The sequence below is a fragment of the Homo sapiens genome, chromosome 4, assembly GCF_000001405.40.
Source record: "Homo sapiens chromosome 4, GRCh38.p14 Primary Assembly".
Classification (NCBI taxonomy): Eukaryota; Metazoa; Chordata; class Mammalia; order Primates; family Hominidae; genus Homo; species Homo sapiens.
This window is the reverse complement of record NC_000004.12, coordinates 150,275,416-150,293,844: the sequence shown is the minus strand read 5'-3', so window position 1 is coordinate 150,293,844 and position 18,429 is coordinate 150,275,416. Positions and strand designations below refer to the sequence as shown.

The 18,429-nt window shown below is 40.2% G+C and overlaps 1 protein-coding gene across 11 annotated transcripts in view, besides 1 other annotated feature; it reads left to right on the top strand.

Annotated features, from left to right (window-relative positions):
- LRBA (LPS responsive beige-like anchor protein) overlaps positions 1 to 18,429 on the top strand; it is a 751,293-nt gene that overhangs the window by 721,883 nt on the left and 10,981 nt on the right. For all 11 annotated transcript variants that reach the window (XM_047416462.1, NM_001367550.1, NM_006726.5 and 8 more), the window contains 3 exons: positions 7,811 to 7,912; positions 11,199 to 11,395; positions 15,841 to 15,992. In XM_047416462.1, coding sequence (XP_047272418.1) covers positions 7,811 to 7,912; positions 11,199 to 11,395; positions 15,841 to 15,992 — 451 coding nt within the window. The remainder of the gene's footprint in view (positions 1 to 7,810; positions 7,913 to 11,198; positions 11,396 to 15,840; positions 15,993 to 18,429) is intronic.
- Positions 5,198 to 5,698: an enhancer, noted in NCBI's record as "H3K4me1 hESC enhancer chr4:151209299-151209799 (GRCh37/hg19 assembly coordinates)". NCBI's record gives its function as "activates a minimal SCP1, AML or CMV promoter by ChIP-STARR-seq in naive H9 embryonic stem cells {active_cell/tissue: H9 hESC(naive)}" and the evidence as "EXISTENCE:reporter gene assay evidence [ECO:0000049][PMID:30033119]".

Below are 18,429 nucleotides of genomic sequence, written 5' to 3'. Positions count from 1 at the left end.
CTCGTTGTCTTCACACCGAGTAGACTGAGGAAGCAGAGGGCTGGTCTTGCTGTCTCAATGGCAGAGGCAGAAGAAAATCCACAAATGAGTAGACCCATACAGTTCAAACCTATGTTGTTCAAGGGTCAACCTTAGTCTTAGAGGGTGATTCCCGTGTTACCAACATTTATATGTATCATAGAGAGAAGAGGAGAAATGTTATATACCAAGGACTTACAGTTGTTCTTTGTACCAACATTATCTTGTCTTGCATTAATACTTCTAATATTATTTACAAGAAGTTGCTACTAAAATTTCCTGTCTGATGGTTGTTGTACTCTAAATGCAGCTATGGCTTATCATCTATAGTCTATATGTCTAATCAAATTGTGATTTTTCACCAAAGAGACCATGATGAATAGGGGAAGGGAAAAGATTTGGTGAAGATGAAATGTATAGGACAAATTTCAAGTAGTTTTTCTAAGCATAATTAAAATGCAGTATAATTTCCATTGTAAAACTAGGAAGTTAATGGAAAAGGTTTAAGAAACATTTAATATCTAAGCTCATTTCCGCTTTAGCAAAGCCATTTCCTTTCTTGATTTACCATTATGGTGAGCCGCATGAGAAAGCTTAGTATTCAGTTTTCACATGAATGTTTTGTAGTAATCAATTGTAACTAAATGGTACAAAAGGCACATGTAAAATAGAGGTATCCGTCTTTAGGAAATGACTGGCATATATTGTATAATATATTTTTGTTTTTTATCTATAATCTATATGCCTAATAAGTTCATTATGTATTTGGGCTTTTTAAACAAATATATTTTATTTCTTAATTTGTTTTCTATTGAAATTATTACTTTTTTTATAAAGCCAGGTTTTATATTTTGATTTTCCTCTATAAAAGTTCAGATGATACATTTTTACTAATGAAGAAAATTATATTGGTGGTCTTTAAGCATGTTAATTATTGTTAAATATTGATTTTGCATACAAAATTAGTTGTTACAAGTGGTATGGACTTCAGTACTATTATGTTGACCTTTACAAGCATAGATATTTATAATTATAATTTGCAGGTTTATAGTACAGTTGACAAAACCAGATCCAATGATCCTTTAAAATCAAGTTATTTTTAAATAAAAGGCTGTGTTTTACTCCTTTCCTTATTTCCATAGTACCTCACATATCTTAAGAATACAAACTCAATAAATATTATTAAGTGAATGAAGGAGTGAAGGAATGAATGGGTGAACAAGTGGGATATGTGATTTTCTGGCCCAGCCAGGAGTCATCTAAACTAAGTATCAATTGGAAGAAATAATTTTAGTTGTACAAAACTAGGAATAGGAAAATGTTTAATCCCGCTTCATTTCCTAATAGATGGTATTGAGAAAATGGAATGAAGAGGATTCACTCTGCTAATAACAACATATTTAACCTACAAGTGAAAACGTTATACTGCATTTCAAAGTGATCTGATTTTCATAAGAGTAAGGAGATGACGCCAAAACACCAAGAACTTCATTCACTTTTTATAAAGTAACTACAAGTTTGCCAGAAAATACATGTCAGATCTATTTGTACCTGGATTGTCACCTGTTTTCCTAAATGGATATAGGCCTTATGAAATATTCTTCTCACTGGATATTTATGAGCAAGATACTAGAGAAATTCCTCTTTTCTCTTCTTTCAGGTGTAATTTTAAGTGGTTCGGAGTCTGTTTGATAAATATACTTAATGTTGCGAGGGCACCAAAGAAACACAACTAATGAAAACGTTTGCTATTCTGCCAAGTGGTGTTAAAATATTTCACCTAATGTTTTAAAACATAAGTCCATTGTTCAATTCCCACCTATGAGTGAGAATATGCGGTGTTTGGTTTTTTGTTCTTGCGATAGTTTACTGAGAATGATGACTTCCAATTTTATCCATGTCCCTACAAAGGACATGAACTCATCATTTTTTATGGCTGCATAGTATTCCATGGTGTATATTTGCCACATTTTCTTAATCCAGTCTATCGTTGTTGGACATTTGGGTTGGTTCCAAGTCTTTGCTATTGTGAATAATGCCGCAATAAACATACGTGTGCATGTGTCTTTATAGCAGCATGATTTATAGTCCTTTGGGTATATACCCAGTAATGGGATGGCTGGGTCAAATGGTATTTCTAGTTCTAGATCCCTGAGGAATCCCCACACTGACTTCCACAATGGTTGAACTAGTTTACAGTCCCACCAACAGTGTAAAAGTGTTCCTATTTCTCCACATCCTCTCCAGCACCTGTTGTTTCCTGACTTTTTAATGATTGCCATTCTAACTGGTGTGAGATGATATCTCATTGTGGTTTTGATTTGCATTTCTCTGATGGCCAGTGATGATGAGCATTTTTTCATGTGTTTTTTGGCTGCATAAATGTCTTCTTTTGAGAAGTGTCTGTTCATGTCCTTCGCCCACTTTTTGATGGGGTTGTTTGTTTTTTTCTTGTAAATTTGTTTGAGTTCATTGTAGATTCTGGATATTAGCCCTTTGTCAGATGAGTAGGTTGCGAAAATTTTCTCCCATTTTGTAGGTTGCCTGTTCACTCTGATGGTAGTTTCTTTTGCTGTGCAGAAGCTCTTTAGTTTAATTAGATCCCATTTGTCAATTTTGTCTTTTGTTGCCACTGCTTTTGGTGTTTAATTGAACAATGAGATCACATGGACACAGGAAGGGGAATATCACACTCTGGGGACTGTGGTGGGGTGGGGGGAGGGGGGAGGGATAGCATTGGGAGATATACCTAATGCTAGATGACGAGTTAGTGGGTGCAGCGCACCAGCATGGCACATGTATACATATGTAACTAACCTGCACAATGTGCACATGTACCCTAAAACTTAAAGTATAATAAAAAATAAATAAATAAAACATAAGTCCAATATAAATGCTAAGTGGTTAGTATAGAGATCTTGTGTTGCTTAAATGCAAGTTAGGTTGTTATAGTTGTCTCTGTAAGTTGGTATTGATATCTAGTATTACGTACTGAGAGAAGTGCCTCTGTAAAACCTGATGTGCCCTGGTATTTGCAGCAGAATTTGGGCTGTCTTTAATCTCATTTGACTTGTTCATCTTCCTTTAAGGCCATCCATAAAGATGCACTGGGTATCCTTTTCAGCCTTTGGTTAGGATTTGCATCAGTAGTCATAAACGTGCTCTCTGGACAAAGACACCCTTTCCTTTGAAGTAATTGCTCAAGCTTTTCAAAGCAGTCCTAGAAGTCTGTCCTCTTTCTCTTTTTATTTTTCTTTAAGAAGAGTTTGAAATGTAGTCCCTTAAACTAGCAGCAAGATAAATTTTTCTCTCAGCATTATTGAAGGCCATGACAATTTTTCAAGCAGTAAGACTTTAAAAGGTTCTTAAGGGAATCTGTTCTGCTTTATGGTCTAGCCTTTGGGAGATCCTACTATCTCAGAAAGCAAAGGTAAAGACTTTTTGTATCCCTTAACTATTGCAAATTTTTATCAGAAGAATTAACTTGATATTTTTCAGAAGATTTTTTTTTCTTGTTCTTCGTTTGGTTTAGAGACTTCAATGAGAGATTATTGATAGTTTTGGCATCTTTGAAAAGTAACATATGGCCAGAATCATCTTGTTTGAGCTGATTATTTCTCCCTGGGTATTAACTATGTGGGCTGACAAGTAGTTGGGAGGGGCAGATTTCTGAGAACACTGCAGTGAGAATGAGTTATATGGTTCCAAGATTTTGTTTCTAGGCTTTCCAAACAGAAATGTACACAGATATGGAGGGATTTTGCCTTTCCTTTCTGTGGGATGTTGTCACTTTGGCTCTGCTGTGATCCAGGATGATGTATACAGTGTAACTACAGAGACATAAAAAGATCGATTCTGTGAGCCACATGTAAAGCCTCTGCTCTGCCTCCGATTATCCCCGCTACCCTCAGTAATTTCATTGCAAGTGGTTCCCAAAATGTCCATTGAACTTAAACAGTTTTGACCTGTTAGATTTAAATCCCATATCATATATCTGCTATATTGAAGTGTAACTATTTCAAGCTCTTTATTATAAAACTTATAAAAATCAAGTAGTAGGTATTTATTTTGAATGTACTTTTTGATGAGGAGAAAATGTAAAGAATGCTCAATCTGTACAGCAGATAATAAAGGGAATACAATCTTTAAAGAAGATTGGAAACAGCTTTTCTTAGAGGAAATGACATATCTCTCCTTATATTGATGTATGTGGGTTTATAGAGGCCAGTAATGTACATTTCCTATAGGTGAGGAAAGTTAAGTAGCGCTGTCTTTTTACTGGAAATCCAGTGACTGTAAAACTGGTTACCTGAGAACCTAATGATCATAAGTCTACCCTTATGCTTTTAATTTCTTTTTCTTTTTTTCTCTCTCTCTCTTTTGTATTTCCTGAACTGTCTAACCTGCTTCCGGGATTAGCAAACATTTTGCCAAACTTTGAAGCCAAAGTCCTAGCATTGAATAGTTCCTTATTTAGAGATCAGGCCCTAGGAAAAGAAGAAATCCTTTTCCAGTTTTGAAATTACTCTGCATGTGTGTGTGTTCTGATCTGTGGAGTGAAAAATGATTTAATAAAGTTTGGATTATTGGAAACTAGTATTTTGTAAACAAAGCATAATGATAAAAATCTTACGAGTTTACAAAAAAAATAATGCTTATATCTTAACCCACCTTCTGGAGTTAATCACGAGGCTTCCTAAACTCTTAACTTTGTAGTCATAGAAAATGCTCAGTATTTCAACTCTTTTACATTAAAGAAAGAAAGAAAATTGACAGCAATCCTCTCCCTTCTTCCACCATGCTCCCAAGAAAACAAAAAGTTAGCATTGATGTTCTTAAGTGACATCATCCTCTGGGACCACCATTATCTATCTGTCCTTTGTTTACTTTGTCTTATACTTAGAATGCCTTCATTTGCCATCAGCTTTCCTTCAAACCTTCACTTTCCACTGAGGAATTCCAAGACAATTCAAGTTAAAACACAAATTTCACCATCCATGAAATGGTAACTTAAGAAAAAAAAAAAAAAAAAAGAACAATCACACCAAAAATATATTCCTTAGATCTTAGTGATTTTAATTGCTGGTAAAAAAAAAAAGTTGCCAATGGATCTAATTAGACAGTAATTTCAGAAACAACATTGTATGGTATTTTTGTGGAATGTACAGCCTTCTGGGGAAAAGGAAAACCAAGAATCAGGGCTAAAGTATTGATAACTTCTTATTTTATTATTTTTTTGAGACGGAGTCTCGCTCTGTTGCCCAGGCTAGAGTGCAGTGGCGTGATCTCGGCTCACTGCAACCTCCACCTCCCAGGTTCAAGCAATTCTCCTACCTGTTAGAGGTGCACACCACCACGCCAAACTAATTTTTTGTATTTTTAGTAGAGGCAGGGTTTCACCATGTTGGCCAGGCTGGTCTCTAACTCGTAACCTCAGGTGATCTGCCCACCTTGGCCTCCCAAAGTACTGGGATTACAGGCGTGAGCCATTGCGCCCGGCCAATAACTTTTTAAAACAGTATACTTCTTCCTAAAATTTGTGGATCCTGGCTGGGCGCGGTGGCTCACGCCTGTAATCCCAGCACTTTGGGAGGCCGAGGCAGGCGGATCACGAGGTCAGGAGATCGAGACCACGGTGAAACCCCGTCTCTACTAAAAATACAAAAAATTAGCTGGGCGCAGTGGCGGGCGCCTGTAGTCCCAGCTACTCAGGAGGCCAAGGCAGGAGAATGGTGTGAACCTGGAAGGCGGAGCTGGCAGTGAGTCGAGATCGCACCACCGCATTCCAGCCTGGGCGACAGAGTGAGACTCCGTCTCAGAAAAAAAAAAAAAAAATTTGTGGATCCTAACAGAAGCTTAAGTAGTTCAGATTGGCTTACATTATTTGCTTTATTTCTTTAAAATTTTCCCAAATTTCTGGACTTTGTAAGAAACAAAATTGCTCTTGTGACAAATTCTTTGTGGCTTGGGAAATGTCAACTTTCTAATTAAGGTAAGTTTGCCTCCCAAAGAAGTGTTAAAACTTGGAATCAAATGAAACGAAGCCCCTTGTTCTGCCTACCCCCTTGCCTCTTTGTATGTTATTTTTGGTCTCCCTTTATCACTAAGCCTGTAGGCTAGGTCCAGCAGCTGGCTGCACATAGCACGCCAGTGTGGTGCAAAGTTCCGTGTGGCATTCCTTCAACTTAAGTCTCACTCAGGATTACCTACAGTCACCAAAGCCTTGAAGGACATTGTAGGGACATGGCCGTGCATTATGTACTCTGGTACATGCATTGGAACTGTCCTGTGAAAAGCTAGACCTGAAGTGACTGCTGGCTCCAGGTGAAGTGGGGCTACAAGCACAGAGACCAGACCTCCCTTCAGGGTAGAAGCCTCTCACCTTTTCTTGTTCATGGACCTCTGTCCATTCAGTAAAACTTATTTTCCTCCCCTGCTACCTAGAAAAACAGGCATGTAGATACATTTTGCATAAAATTTCAAATAACCCAGTGACCTACTGGAAGAACCCTTGCTTTGGAAGCCGGGTTAGTTTTCTGACAGCAGCATTTGCCTTTCCAAGTACAGTAGGTTTCCAGTGGGTTTCCCCTGAGCTGCTGGACTTCCTTCCTCTGAGTGGGTGACTGCTCCAAGGATAGTCAGGTGTCTGGGGTTAAGATACAAGCGATTCTCTTCCACAGAGTTCCATAGCTGGTGGTAGCCACTTACTCTGTGGGCACATTTGTCTCTTCTGGATTACACAGTGTTAGTTATCAAGCATACTATAAAACCAATCCAAATCAAGAAATCGGGAATGCTAATAGAATCCTGCTCTCCACTTGGAAAGACTTTTTGTATCTTTACCTTTAGAGACTATAAAAGTAAAGGATCCGTTTAGTCTTCAAATCATATTCTTCAGGCTAGACATGGAATCCAGTTTATCCTTGTGGCTTGGCACGAACCCATCCACAAATCAAGACCATTACCATTTTACTTAGTCATGATGGGTTCCTTATTAACCAACCAACCAACCAACCATACGTTTTCTTTTTAGTTTGGGACAGACATACAGGATGACTTGTTCTTTCAAGTTGTGAAAGTATTCGGCAATATCTGCCAGTTTTTGGATACTCCTCCTCTGTCCCCCCTTCTCTACCCACCGCCCCTCATTTTCAATCACTATCTGTAGACTTATCTGTAAGGGTTTGGTTTTTTTTTAGGTGTTTCTTATATTGGGTTTTTTTTCGGTTATTTGAATGAACCACAGAGAAATATATCCATGAAATTTATATATCAGAAAAATACATAAGCTTAGTAGAGAGAATACATATTTAAGAGAGGGGCTGCAGAATTACTGTGGGGGTAGCAGAAGTCTAGTTCAGACTGTCTTCATTATGATGGGTTTCAGCGGCCCACAAAGGATGAGGAAGGAGGAAGGAGGGGCGAGGCCTTTCTTTGAAATGTAAATTGAGCCAAAGTTCCTAATTTTATAATCATCTGACCATAAAACATCTAATTGAGGGGCTGATTTTTTATGAGGCATTTTGGAATGCAGATTTTGTTGTATTTAACCCTGAGTTTTCAACCATTGTTGCTTGATAATCACATAAAGGTTACTTGACATTTTAGCAGGATGTGGCCCTCATAATCAAACTATAGTATGTAACTTGGATCTAGTCCTAAAGTAGGATTGCTGGACAAATTCCCAAACTATAAATTAAATAGGCATGATGGAAATTAGGAGCAAGTTGTTGATTATTTAATATGCATGAAATTGAATTGATTTGTTCTTTTTATCTGTTTTTTCCTAAAGGTGAGACTGCTGCTCCTCGGGCCATTTTGACCGGCCATGACTATGAGGTCACATGTGCTGCGGTGTGTGCGGAGCTAGGCCTGGTGTTGAGTGGTTCACAAGGTAAACCTGTGGTACCTTCACAAAATGGATGCATTTCTTGCTGTCTTCTAGAAACAAATTACCAAAGATTAATTTGGTACCTTTTTTCTAAAGCTTCTGTCTGTTATGATAGCCATTAGTCATATGGAACTATTTAAATTATTTAAAATTAAATAAAATTAAAATGTAAGTTTCTTCGTGGCACTAGCCACATTGCAGGTCCTCAGTACTCACATATGGCTAGTGGCCACTACATTGGACAGCACAGATACAGATCATTTCCATCATTGTAGAAAGTTCTGTTTCACAGCACTGCTCTAAGGAGTTTAAGATGTTTTTACAAACATATCCTGTTAATATTCATATTCCCCTGAAGCAGGAACAAGGAACGTCTTTGTATATTTGTTTATTCTTCTGAGCTATTACTGGGCCAGGTTCCGTCTTATATCTGAATGGAAGCCCCTGACCCTGTCTGTTTTAATGAGGCAGGGGCCACAGTGGCATTGAGAGTGGAGTAGAAAGATACTTAAGCTGGTTTGCCTGGAGGTTTGTGCTGGAAACAGCATTATATATTTAGGCCCAAGATATTAAGCGAGCTTAGAGCACATGCAACAAATCAGGATCTGACTAGGAATGGAGCTGTTTCCAATTCGTTGCTTACTTATCCCATCATAATAGTCTATCCATCTCTCTGTCTCTGCTCTGAGCTGAAGTCTGAACACACAACAAAGTATTATATCTCACATCTTTTGGGTTTATCTGGTGGGGAAACAGAGTATTTGGATCAGCTCCTCTGTGTCCTAAAATGTAATACTTATTAGTCTAGTTAATAAGGTGTTTTAAATATTTAAAGGATTATGTTTATAAATTTGGTCAAAACATTGAAATAGTAATAATGATAGCAATAATTCTATAACCACTGGATTTTTCCCTTATACTCAATAATTTCATACGTCCTGAGCCAACAGGAGTCGTAAAATGAACCTATTATATATTACAGGTCATCTTTTCTTTGCACAGTAGTATGGAACTGTAAAAGTGAGCACGCCAACTGAAACCATACAAAGTGATCTGAATAATCATTGGTAAATTTTACAATTGTTCCATGGTCTTTAAAAATTTTTGTCAGGCTGGGCATGGTGGCTCATGCCTGTAATCCCAACATTTTGGGAGGCTAAGGTGGGAAGATCATTTGAGGCCAGGAGTTCAAGACCAGTCTGGCAACATAGTGAGACCCCCATCTCTACAAAAAAATTAAGAATTAGCTGGGCATGGGGTGCACACCTGTAGTCCCAGCTGCTTGGGAAGGTGAGATGGGAGGATTGCAGGAGGTGAAGGCTGTAGTAAGCCATGATCATGCCACTGCACTCCAGCCTGGGTGACACAGCAAAACCCTGTCTCTAAGAATAATTTTGTCAAAACATTAAAAACTCATACTCAGTTATACATATAACATGAAAAAAGTAGTAAAACTCACATGTACTTAATACACTGTAATTTAAAACATTTGATACATTGATAATTATTTTATTTGTGAAAAACATATCAAGAGTAGTTTGAACAGTGCTTACTGCCTTCTTGTTATATACATGTAAGGAGCTAGCATCTTTTCTATGCCTTGGGGAGCTGTCATACTCTTTTCTAAGTTGGAACCAGCATCTAACATTTTATCTTTTGTGCTTTCAATGTCATGAAATATTCCCTAGAATTCCTTTAATGTGAGGCTTTTGCTGGTTTAAATTCTGGGACATTTTTGTTACACCTTCTTCCCTAACTTACACTGATAAGTTCCTTCATTCCCTTCCTGGCTGCATATCTACAGTGTCTCAGCAGGGTCAGCATCCCACAGGCAGCTCGCTCTTCTATAATTCCATTTATATTCAATTCAAATTGTACTTTCAGTTTTATCATTTTCCATTTCTTTACTGCAGTTTCATCTTTGTTGGCCAATACCCCTTTTTGATTATCCATTTTTGTGAAATGTTACATGGCTTTATCACTGGGAGACAAAAAAGCAACACAGCTGCACAGTTTGCTGTCTGTGTGGGAACTGAATAACAGATAATGCAGTGAGCAGTCATCGACATATTTTGAAAGGAGTGATGTGATTGGTCACTGATGATGATGATGCACATCTGTTATTTATATAGTGATTTGTGGACTGAAGAGCTAGCCACAAAAGTGCATACTTTATGCAATTACTATGACAACCTAAATTTGAACTATGTTATTGGAGGGCTGGTGTTATTTAAGGAGTGATAACTGAAATTCATGCATGCTGGAACTGTGTAAAGCAAACACTGCCTGTGGATATTTAAAAAATTTATCAACTACCTGAGTGGTCAAGAAAGAGCTAAAAGCCTTATTTTTAAAAGGGCAAGCTTTCAATAGTCATTGTGGGGAAAAGGCAACGATTCCATGTGGCCATGAGTAATTTAGCCAGTAGAGTAGCAGGGCGCATACCCCAGTGACCCCCGTTATCTGACTATCTCTTGGAACTTGCTCATCACACAAGCAATTTTTGTTCCTTATTCCTTCTTTGCCTTGCATGCAGCAGGTACTCAACAGAAACAAAAAGCTTGGCTGTGTGTGGGCTCCCAGTAGCTGCCTGTCCTTCTCTGGCACCTTGGCCTGGTGGTCCACCCAGGCGTTGGGAGTGGTAGATGCTGCTCCTTGCTGTGAAGGCAGCAGGGAGGTGGCTTCACTCAGTTGCCAAGGAGAAGTGGCCGAAGGGTTCCTGTGTGAATTTTTTGGAGGTTGAGAGGAACTACCAGGGACCCCCTTTCAGTGTAAAAAAAGTAGTGAGCAGTTGCGGGGGAAGAGGGCTAAGGCACTCAGAGGCTGATTGAGCTGGCTGTCCCTGCATAGGCCCACAGTGCCGTGGCCGTTGGGGCTCCTGCAAGGTGCAGGGAGAGGTCTTAGTGTACCTGCCCGCAGCCCTTGTTTGTTTGCATCCCAGCCTCCTTGAAGCTGTGCTAGAATTTGAAGCTTATCCTGTTTCTCAGTTCCTCCAGTTTGTATTGCCTGTTAGCATAATGAATTTCATAGAGTAACTTCCTGTCTCTTGAGGAAAGTGAACTTGGACTTACATGGTTTGGCTTCTCTCCTCTCCTGAGTGGAAGGTGAGATCTGGCAAACATGAAGAGGAGATTTTGCAAAATAACTTACACGTAAGATGGAAGTTTTTTAAAGGCTTTCTACATCTATAGTGTGGTTCTATAATCCTGTTTGATCTGTGCTCAAGATTCAGATCATATTGTCTGTTTTCATTCAATAATTTTGCCTTTTATTTCTCCTCTCTTCTCAGAAGGACCATGTCTCATACATTCCATGAATGGAGACTTGTTGAGGACCTTGGAGGGTCCTGAAAACTGCCTGAAACCAAAACTCATTCAGGCTTCAAGAGAGGGTCATTGTGTCATATTCTATGAAAACGGCCTCTTCTGTACATTCAGTGTGAATGGAAAACTCCAGGCCACGATGGAAACAGATGATAACATAAGAGTGAGTGCCCTGGGGACTCTTCAGCATTCACGACTTTTACCTCAACGTGTGTCAAGTGGGGAGGGAGAGGGTTCGCGAAAGAAACCTCTATTTTTGGATTGCCGAGGGCCTCTTTTCCATACCAACAAAAAATCTTTAGGTAGCACTCAGACAAGGCTCACACACTTCACACACCACAGCAGTGCCAGCTGTGCTGACCACGTCACTCAGCGCAGCTGAGGACGGTCCTTCAATAGAAGAGGTTTTCTTAGGGGCTTCTGAAGCCATCCTGGGTGGCTTTTAGTGGCACTGCTCATTTCTTTTTTTCTAAGAAAATGCACTGCACATTGTTTTCTGAGTATGAAAGCTGAAATAGTACATTAGATGACACTTAAAACTGGATTCTCTTTACATCTGAATAGCTTGGTGGTGGGAGCAGTAGGGATTATGACTATTTAGGTTTATTAATTTCAGCTATGACTTCTTTATGGACAACAAGACCAAAAACATGTTAAAGAAGCTGGGCTTCAAATTATGATATGAATTAGGCAGGCATTTTCTCCCACTGGGTCTACCCGAAATGGCACCGCCAGTGGACCTTCTGGGCTCTTGCTTCATCTCCAGGACAGGACTCCACAAGTATTAGACATTGAGAAAAAGAGTAAGAACTATTCTTTTCAGAGGCTAGTTTCTCAAGGTCCTTTGTTTCTTACCTCCAAACTCCTTGGTGAAGGTTAAAGTAAAATAAAGCTGGGGTGGTCCTCATTTTCCAGAATCAGGCTGGAGGGCGGGGCATGTGAGCTGTATACAATGAGGGGACCCAGGACATGTTGGGGGCAGGAGTAGGGTCACAGGGGCTTCTACCCTGGCGTTGGGCTAGCTCTGGATATTTCACTCATTGCTATTCTGACCTATGCAGCTTAGATGTCATAAATTCTCCCACTTTCCCAGATCTAGTCTGATCACCCCCTTCTCCTAAGTAAATACTGGTCTCAGGGAACAAAGCTCCTACATATAGGTTACATTGAGGAAATGAAGGACCCTTGCTGCTCTGTCTCCTGGGATTCATTTCTTGATTCAGTGGACGGCTTCCTTCTTGTCTCCACTGTTCTCTGCGGTCTCTCCATCACATTCTGCCGGCCTCCACGAGGCACGCACAGAGACACACTCGTACTCGCTTTTATTTTTCCCTACCTTCCCATAATGCTGCATTTAAACCAAGTACACATCAGAGGATTTTCTTTTCCTCTTTTCTTTACAATAATAATGTGGATAATCTGTCACTTTGAGTTGCGATTATATTGTCAGCTACGCTAATAAATCTGTAAAATAATTTGAGATCCCTGGCTGACTGAAGCAATTTCTGTGGCATTTCAGTTAGTACCAGGGGCTCTGGGAAGTTCCTTGAGGCAGCAGTGGGAGGCTTTCTGCAGACCATTCATACACACATGCTTCTCCTCTCTGCCCTGTAGCCATTGCTTTTTCCCTCTTTAATATTTCCCACTGGATTTTAGGCTTAAACAATCCATTGCCTTTTTCCCAGCACTCCTGCACTTTATCATGCTAACTTGCAAGTGGCAACTGTGTGATTAAAGCGAGCTTGCCTAAAATGAGCAATACCTGCCCACAGCTCCAGAGACTGATACTTTCACAGCTCACTACCTCGGGAGGCGAGGAAGGAAGCCACAGGCTGGGAATCCAAGACACCACAGGGCAGAATCTCCAGCTCCTTCCTCAATCTGAGCCCATATAAGGAATGGACACCATGGAAACAAATTAGTCATCAGCTCAGACCAGAAATTAAGTTTCTGTGAAATACCAAGAACCCTGCAGGCAGGCAGCCTGGGGAAGCTCTGCACTTCCCACCTATTTTTATTTTAGATGCCAGATTGCTCTGTGGCATTTTGGTTAGCAGCATATCACAGTCCATCAACTAGACAGTGTTGAGATGTCTTTATGAATAGCTGATATTTAAGGAGGCAGCCTGTACAGAGCAGCAAAGTTATTTTGTCCTAAACAAGGGAGAACCACCATTCACCCAGGGGAATGCATTTGTTTTCCCTTCCTGAGGCTGTTTTAGAATGTGGTCATCCCCAGCAGATTGCTGTGGCCTGCTACTACCTCCTTAAAACCCGTGCAGCCACGGCATTGTCCAGAGCACTCAGGATTTCAGGGGATGAGATTAACATGTGTCTGGGGCCCTCTGAAAACCTCTAGTCACAACCCAACCTGGATGCGGAGGCGGCCTGTCAGAATTTGAGTGGGAGATCAGGTGCTGCTTGCTAAATGTTACCCTGGCTCTTGCCGCCAGAGGAATTTGGCCTCTCCTGAAAGAGGCCAGCGAAATCTTTTTTCACCTTGGGAGGCATCTGATTCATTAAAATGTTTTGAATGCTGATGACTGTATAGTCCCTAAAGCCCAGGTTTTACTTAATTTCAGATGGAAGCAGGATTAGAGATTCTTTACTAGAACAAAGAATTAAAGATCAGTGGTTTTGTTTTAGTATAACACTTATCCAGTAAAAAGCTTCAAGTATCAAATTCAAATGAACTACAACCATAAGGTTAATGGATTTTCATCAGCTGAATTTTATAAGTGTAGCAAATAATTGTTTGTCCTAGTCTCCACTGCAGTTCCCAGACACCCCTAGAGATTGCCATTTGTGAAATGAGTGGGGGAAAAGGATACTGATTTTTGCTCATCTTGAAAATATCTTAATATCTGTGTTAACAAAACTTAGAGAATATGTAACTAACTGTCTTCCACACATGGGTTTTTATTTCCTAGATGTGTTTTTGTGTTCTTGAGAATAAGCTGTATTTAAGGGACTACTAAAAGTTGGCATTTGGGTGAATGTGAAATAAATGGCTAAGAAAGTCTTTGCCTTTCTATGATTTTTTAAAAGATATGTCAAACAGTGAAGACTTAAGGCAGCTATGCTAGAACTGAATGTAGAACAGTGTCAATGTATCAGAAATTAGGTTTTTTTCTTTCTGGCTTGCCAGCACAATCTGTATTCCCCTGTGTCCAGGTGGACATGCGATTACAGGTGTTTGTAGTGGCTTTAAAACTCTGATGCCATCCACTAAAGAAAGGAAATTTGTATCTTAATAAGCTAAGAAAGCAAGGCTTGGAGGTACCAGGCAGGAGGAGAGGAAGGGGTAATAGGATTGGCTTTTGGAGGAGGGAGGGACAATTAGGAGTAATCACACTTTTTCTATAAATGGACAGAAAGTAAATATTTTCAGCTTTGAGGGTTCTGCATTCTCTGCTGCAACTACCTGTGAAAGCAGTCATAAACAAATAATAGGTGTGGCGATGTTCTGGTAAAACCTTATTTATGGAAGGCCAGGCGCAGTGGTTCTCGCCTGTAATCCCAGCACTTTGGGAGTCCGAGCGGGTGGATCACTTGAGGTCAGGAGTTCAAGACCAGCCTGACCAACATGGTGAAACCCCGTCTCTACTAAAAATACAAAAGTTAGACGGGTGTTGTGGTGGGCACCTGTAATCCCAACTGCTCAGGAGGTTGAGGTATGAGAATCACTTGAACCTGAGAGGTGGAGATTGTAGTGAGCTGAGACTGCGCCACTGCACTCCAGCCTGGGTGACAGAGCAAGACCCTGTCTCGAGGGGGGAAAAAAAAAAACCTGTTTATGGGGATTCAAATTTGGAATTCATATAAATATTCATGTGTCATGAAAAATTCAAGCATTAAAAAATGTTAAACAATTATATGAAACAGGCAGTGGGCTGCACTTGGCCCGCAGGCTTTCATTCATGGATGCCCATTTTACAGGATCAAAGAGCAAATTCTGAGCCTGTACTGTCTGTTCAGCGCTAGTAGGAAAGGACAGAGGGGCACAGCCTAGAGCTGACTAAACCACAGGCTGGAGCACTGTCAGCCCTGGAGCAAGAAAATGCTGAACTGAGATTTAATCACCCTGGAAGTTGTTGTAGCTCTCTACAAAGTCTTCTTCCCAACTGCTGTCAAAATCCAGCAGGCTCAGGGAAGGTGCCGAGGCTGCTGGCCGCCTCCCTCCAGCTGGAGTTGCAGGGGATTAGAGGGGATGTAAGGTCAGGTGGCACCATCTGCCAAGTCTTGGGACAAAACAGGCTTATTAGCATGTCTGCAGTGCAAATGAAGAGATGCCAGGGCTTCTCATTAGAGCACTGGTCCCAGTCCACAACACACACCATTCCAGTAGCATTTGTAGAACTGGAAGAGTTTGCTACCTAGTATTTAAAAAAGCAAAGCCAAAACAATCTCAAGCATTGATGAACTTTGTCCATTTGGTTTTTGAAAAATGGCAGATCTTCTACAACTCACGATTTTCTAAAAACTCCTGAGGATCTCTCTCTCTTCTCTCTGCACCGTAGTAGCTGGTGTAAGAATGACTCAAAAACAGGGTGGGGGCCGAAAGTTTCCTAGAACCACATTTCTACTGAATGTTGCTGTGTCTCACAGGCCATCCAGCTGAGCCGAGATGGGCAGTACCTGCTCACAGGAGGAGACAGAGGAGTGGTCGTGGTCCGGCAGGTGTCGGACCTCAAGCAGCTCTTTGCCTATCCAGGATGTGACGCTGGAATCCGGGCCATGGCGCTGTCTTACGACCAGAGGTAACACTGGAATCATGGGCTACAAATAGGGGTTTCAAAAACTGCAGAGGGGACTGGTCGTGTTGGCTTACACCTGTAATCCCAGTACTTTGGGAGGCTGAGGCAGGAGAATCACTTGAGCCCAGGAGTTCGAAGCCAGCCTGGGCAACATTGCAAGACCCTGTCTCTACAGAAAAAAAAAATTTTTTTTTCAAAATTGTATAGTAAAACCTGCAGAGGGAATTTATTTAAATGGGCTGATGGAGTTGAGTTGTGGGGGTCACCTGTACAATCAAACCAAGAACACTTTTTTAAAAAGTGTGATTTTCTTTCTGATGACATTGCCACTCTTGGACAAAGGCTGAGTTCTCAAGGAATAGACAGAATTTAAGTAGCAAAGGCTCTGATTACAGTGATGCAAAGCTTTTTATATTTCTTTGAAGTATCTTTTTTTAAATTATACCTTAAGTTCTGGGGTACATGTGCAGAACGCAGTTTGTTACATAGGTATACATGTGCCATGGTGGTCTGCTGCACCCATCAACCCATCATCTACATTAGGTATTTCTCCTAATGCTATCCCTCCCCTAGGCCCCCACCCCCACAACAGGCCCCCGTATGTGATGTTCCTCTGTGTCCATATGTTCTCTTTGTTCAACTCCCACTTATGAGTGAGAAGATGAGGTATTTGCTTTTCTGTTCCTGTGTTAGTTTGCTGAGAATGACAGTTTCCAGCTTCATCCATGTCCCTGCAAAGGACATGAACTCATTCTTTTGTATGGCTGCATAGTATTCCATGGCGTATATGTGCCACATTTTCTTTATCCAGTCTATCATTGATGGGCATTTGGGTTGGTTCCAAGTCTTTGCTATTGTGAATAGTGCCGCAATAAACATAGATGTGCATGTGTCTTTATACTAGAATGATTTATAATCCTTTGGGTATATACCCAGTAATGAGATTGTGGGTCAAATGGTATTTCTGGTTCTATATCCTTGAGGAATTGCCACACTGTCTTCTACAATGGTTGAACTAATTTACACTCCCACCAACGATGTAAAAGCATTTCTGTTTCTCCACATCCTCTCCAGCATCTGTTGTTTCCTAACTTTTTAATGATTGCCATTCTGAAGGGTGTGAGATGGTGTCTCATTGTGGTTTTGATTTGCATTTCTCTAATGACCAGTGATAAAGAGCTTTTATTCATATGTTTGTTGGCTGCGTAAATGTCTTCTTTTGAGAAGTGTCTGTTCATATCTTTTGCCCACTTTTTGATGGGGTTGTTTTTTTCTTGTAAATTTGTTTAAGTTCTTTGTAGATTCTGGATATTAGCCCTTTGTCAGTTGGATAGATTGCAAAAATTTTCTCCAATTCTGTAGCCTACCTGTTCACTCTGATGATAGTTTCTTTTGCTGTGCAGAAGCTCTTTAATTAGATCCCATTTGTCAATTTTGGCTTTTGTTGCCATTGCTTTTGGTGTTTTAGTCATGAAGTCTTTGCCCATGCCTATGTCCTGAATGGTATTGCCTAGGTTTCCTTCTAGGGTTTTTATGGTTTTAGGCCTTACGTTTAAGTCTTTCATCCATCTTGAGTTAATTTTTGTATAAGGTGTAAGGAAGGGGTCCAGTTTCAGTTTTCTGCATATGGCTAGCCAGTTTTCCCAACACCATTTACTAATTAGGGAATCCTTTCCCCATTGCTTGTTTGTGTCAGGTTTGTCAAAGATCAGATGGTTGTAGATGCATGGTGTTATTTCTGAGGCCTCTGTTCTGTTCCATTGGTCTATATATCTGTTTTGGTACCAGTACCATGCTGTTTTGGTTACTGTAGCCTTGTAGTATAGTTTGAAGTCAGGTAGTATGGTGCCTCCAGCTTTGTTCTTTTTGCTTAGGATTGTCTTGGCTATACAGGCTCTTTTTTGGTTCCATATGAAATTTAAAGTAGTTTTTTCTAATTCTGTGAAGAAAGTCAATGGTAGCTTGATGGGGATAGCATTGAATTGACTCTATAAATTACTTTGGGCAGTATGACCATTTTCACAATATTGATTCTTCCTATCCATGAGCATGGAATGTTTTTCCACTTATTTGTGTCCTCTCTTATTTCCTTGAGCAGTGGTTTGTAGTTCTCCTTGAAGAGGTCCTTCACATCCCTTGTAAGTTAGATTCCTAGGTATTTAATTGTCTTTGTAGCAATTGTGAATGGGAGTTCACTCATGATTTGGCTGTTTGTCTGTTATTGGTGTATAGGAATGCTTGTGATTTTTGCACATTGATTTTGTATCCTGAGACTTTGCTGAAGTTGCCTATCAGCTTAAGGAGATTTTGGGCTGAGATGCTGGGGTTTTCTAAATATACAATCATGTCATCTGCAAACAGGGATAATTTGACTTCCTCTTTTCCTATCTGAATACCCTTTCTTTCTTTCTCTTGCCTGATTGCCCTGGCCAGAACTTCC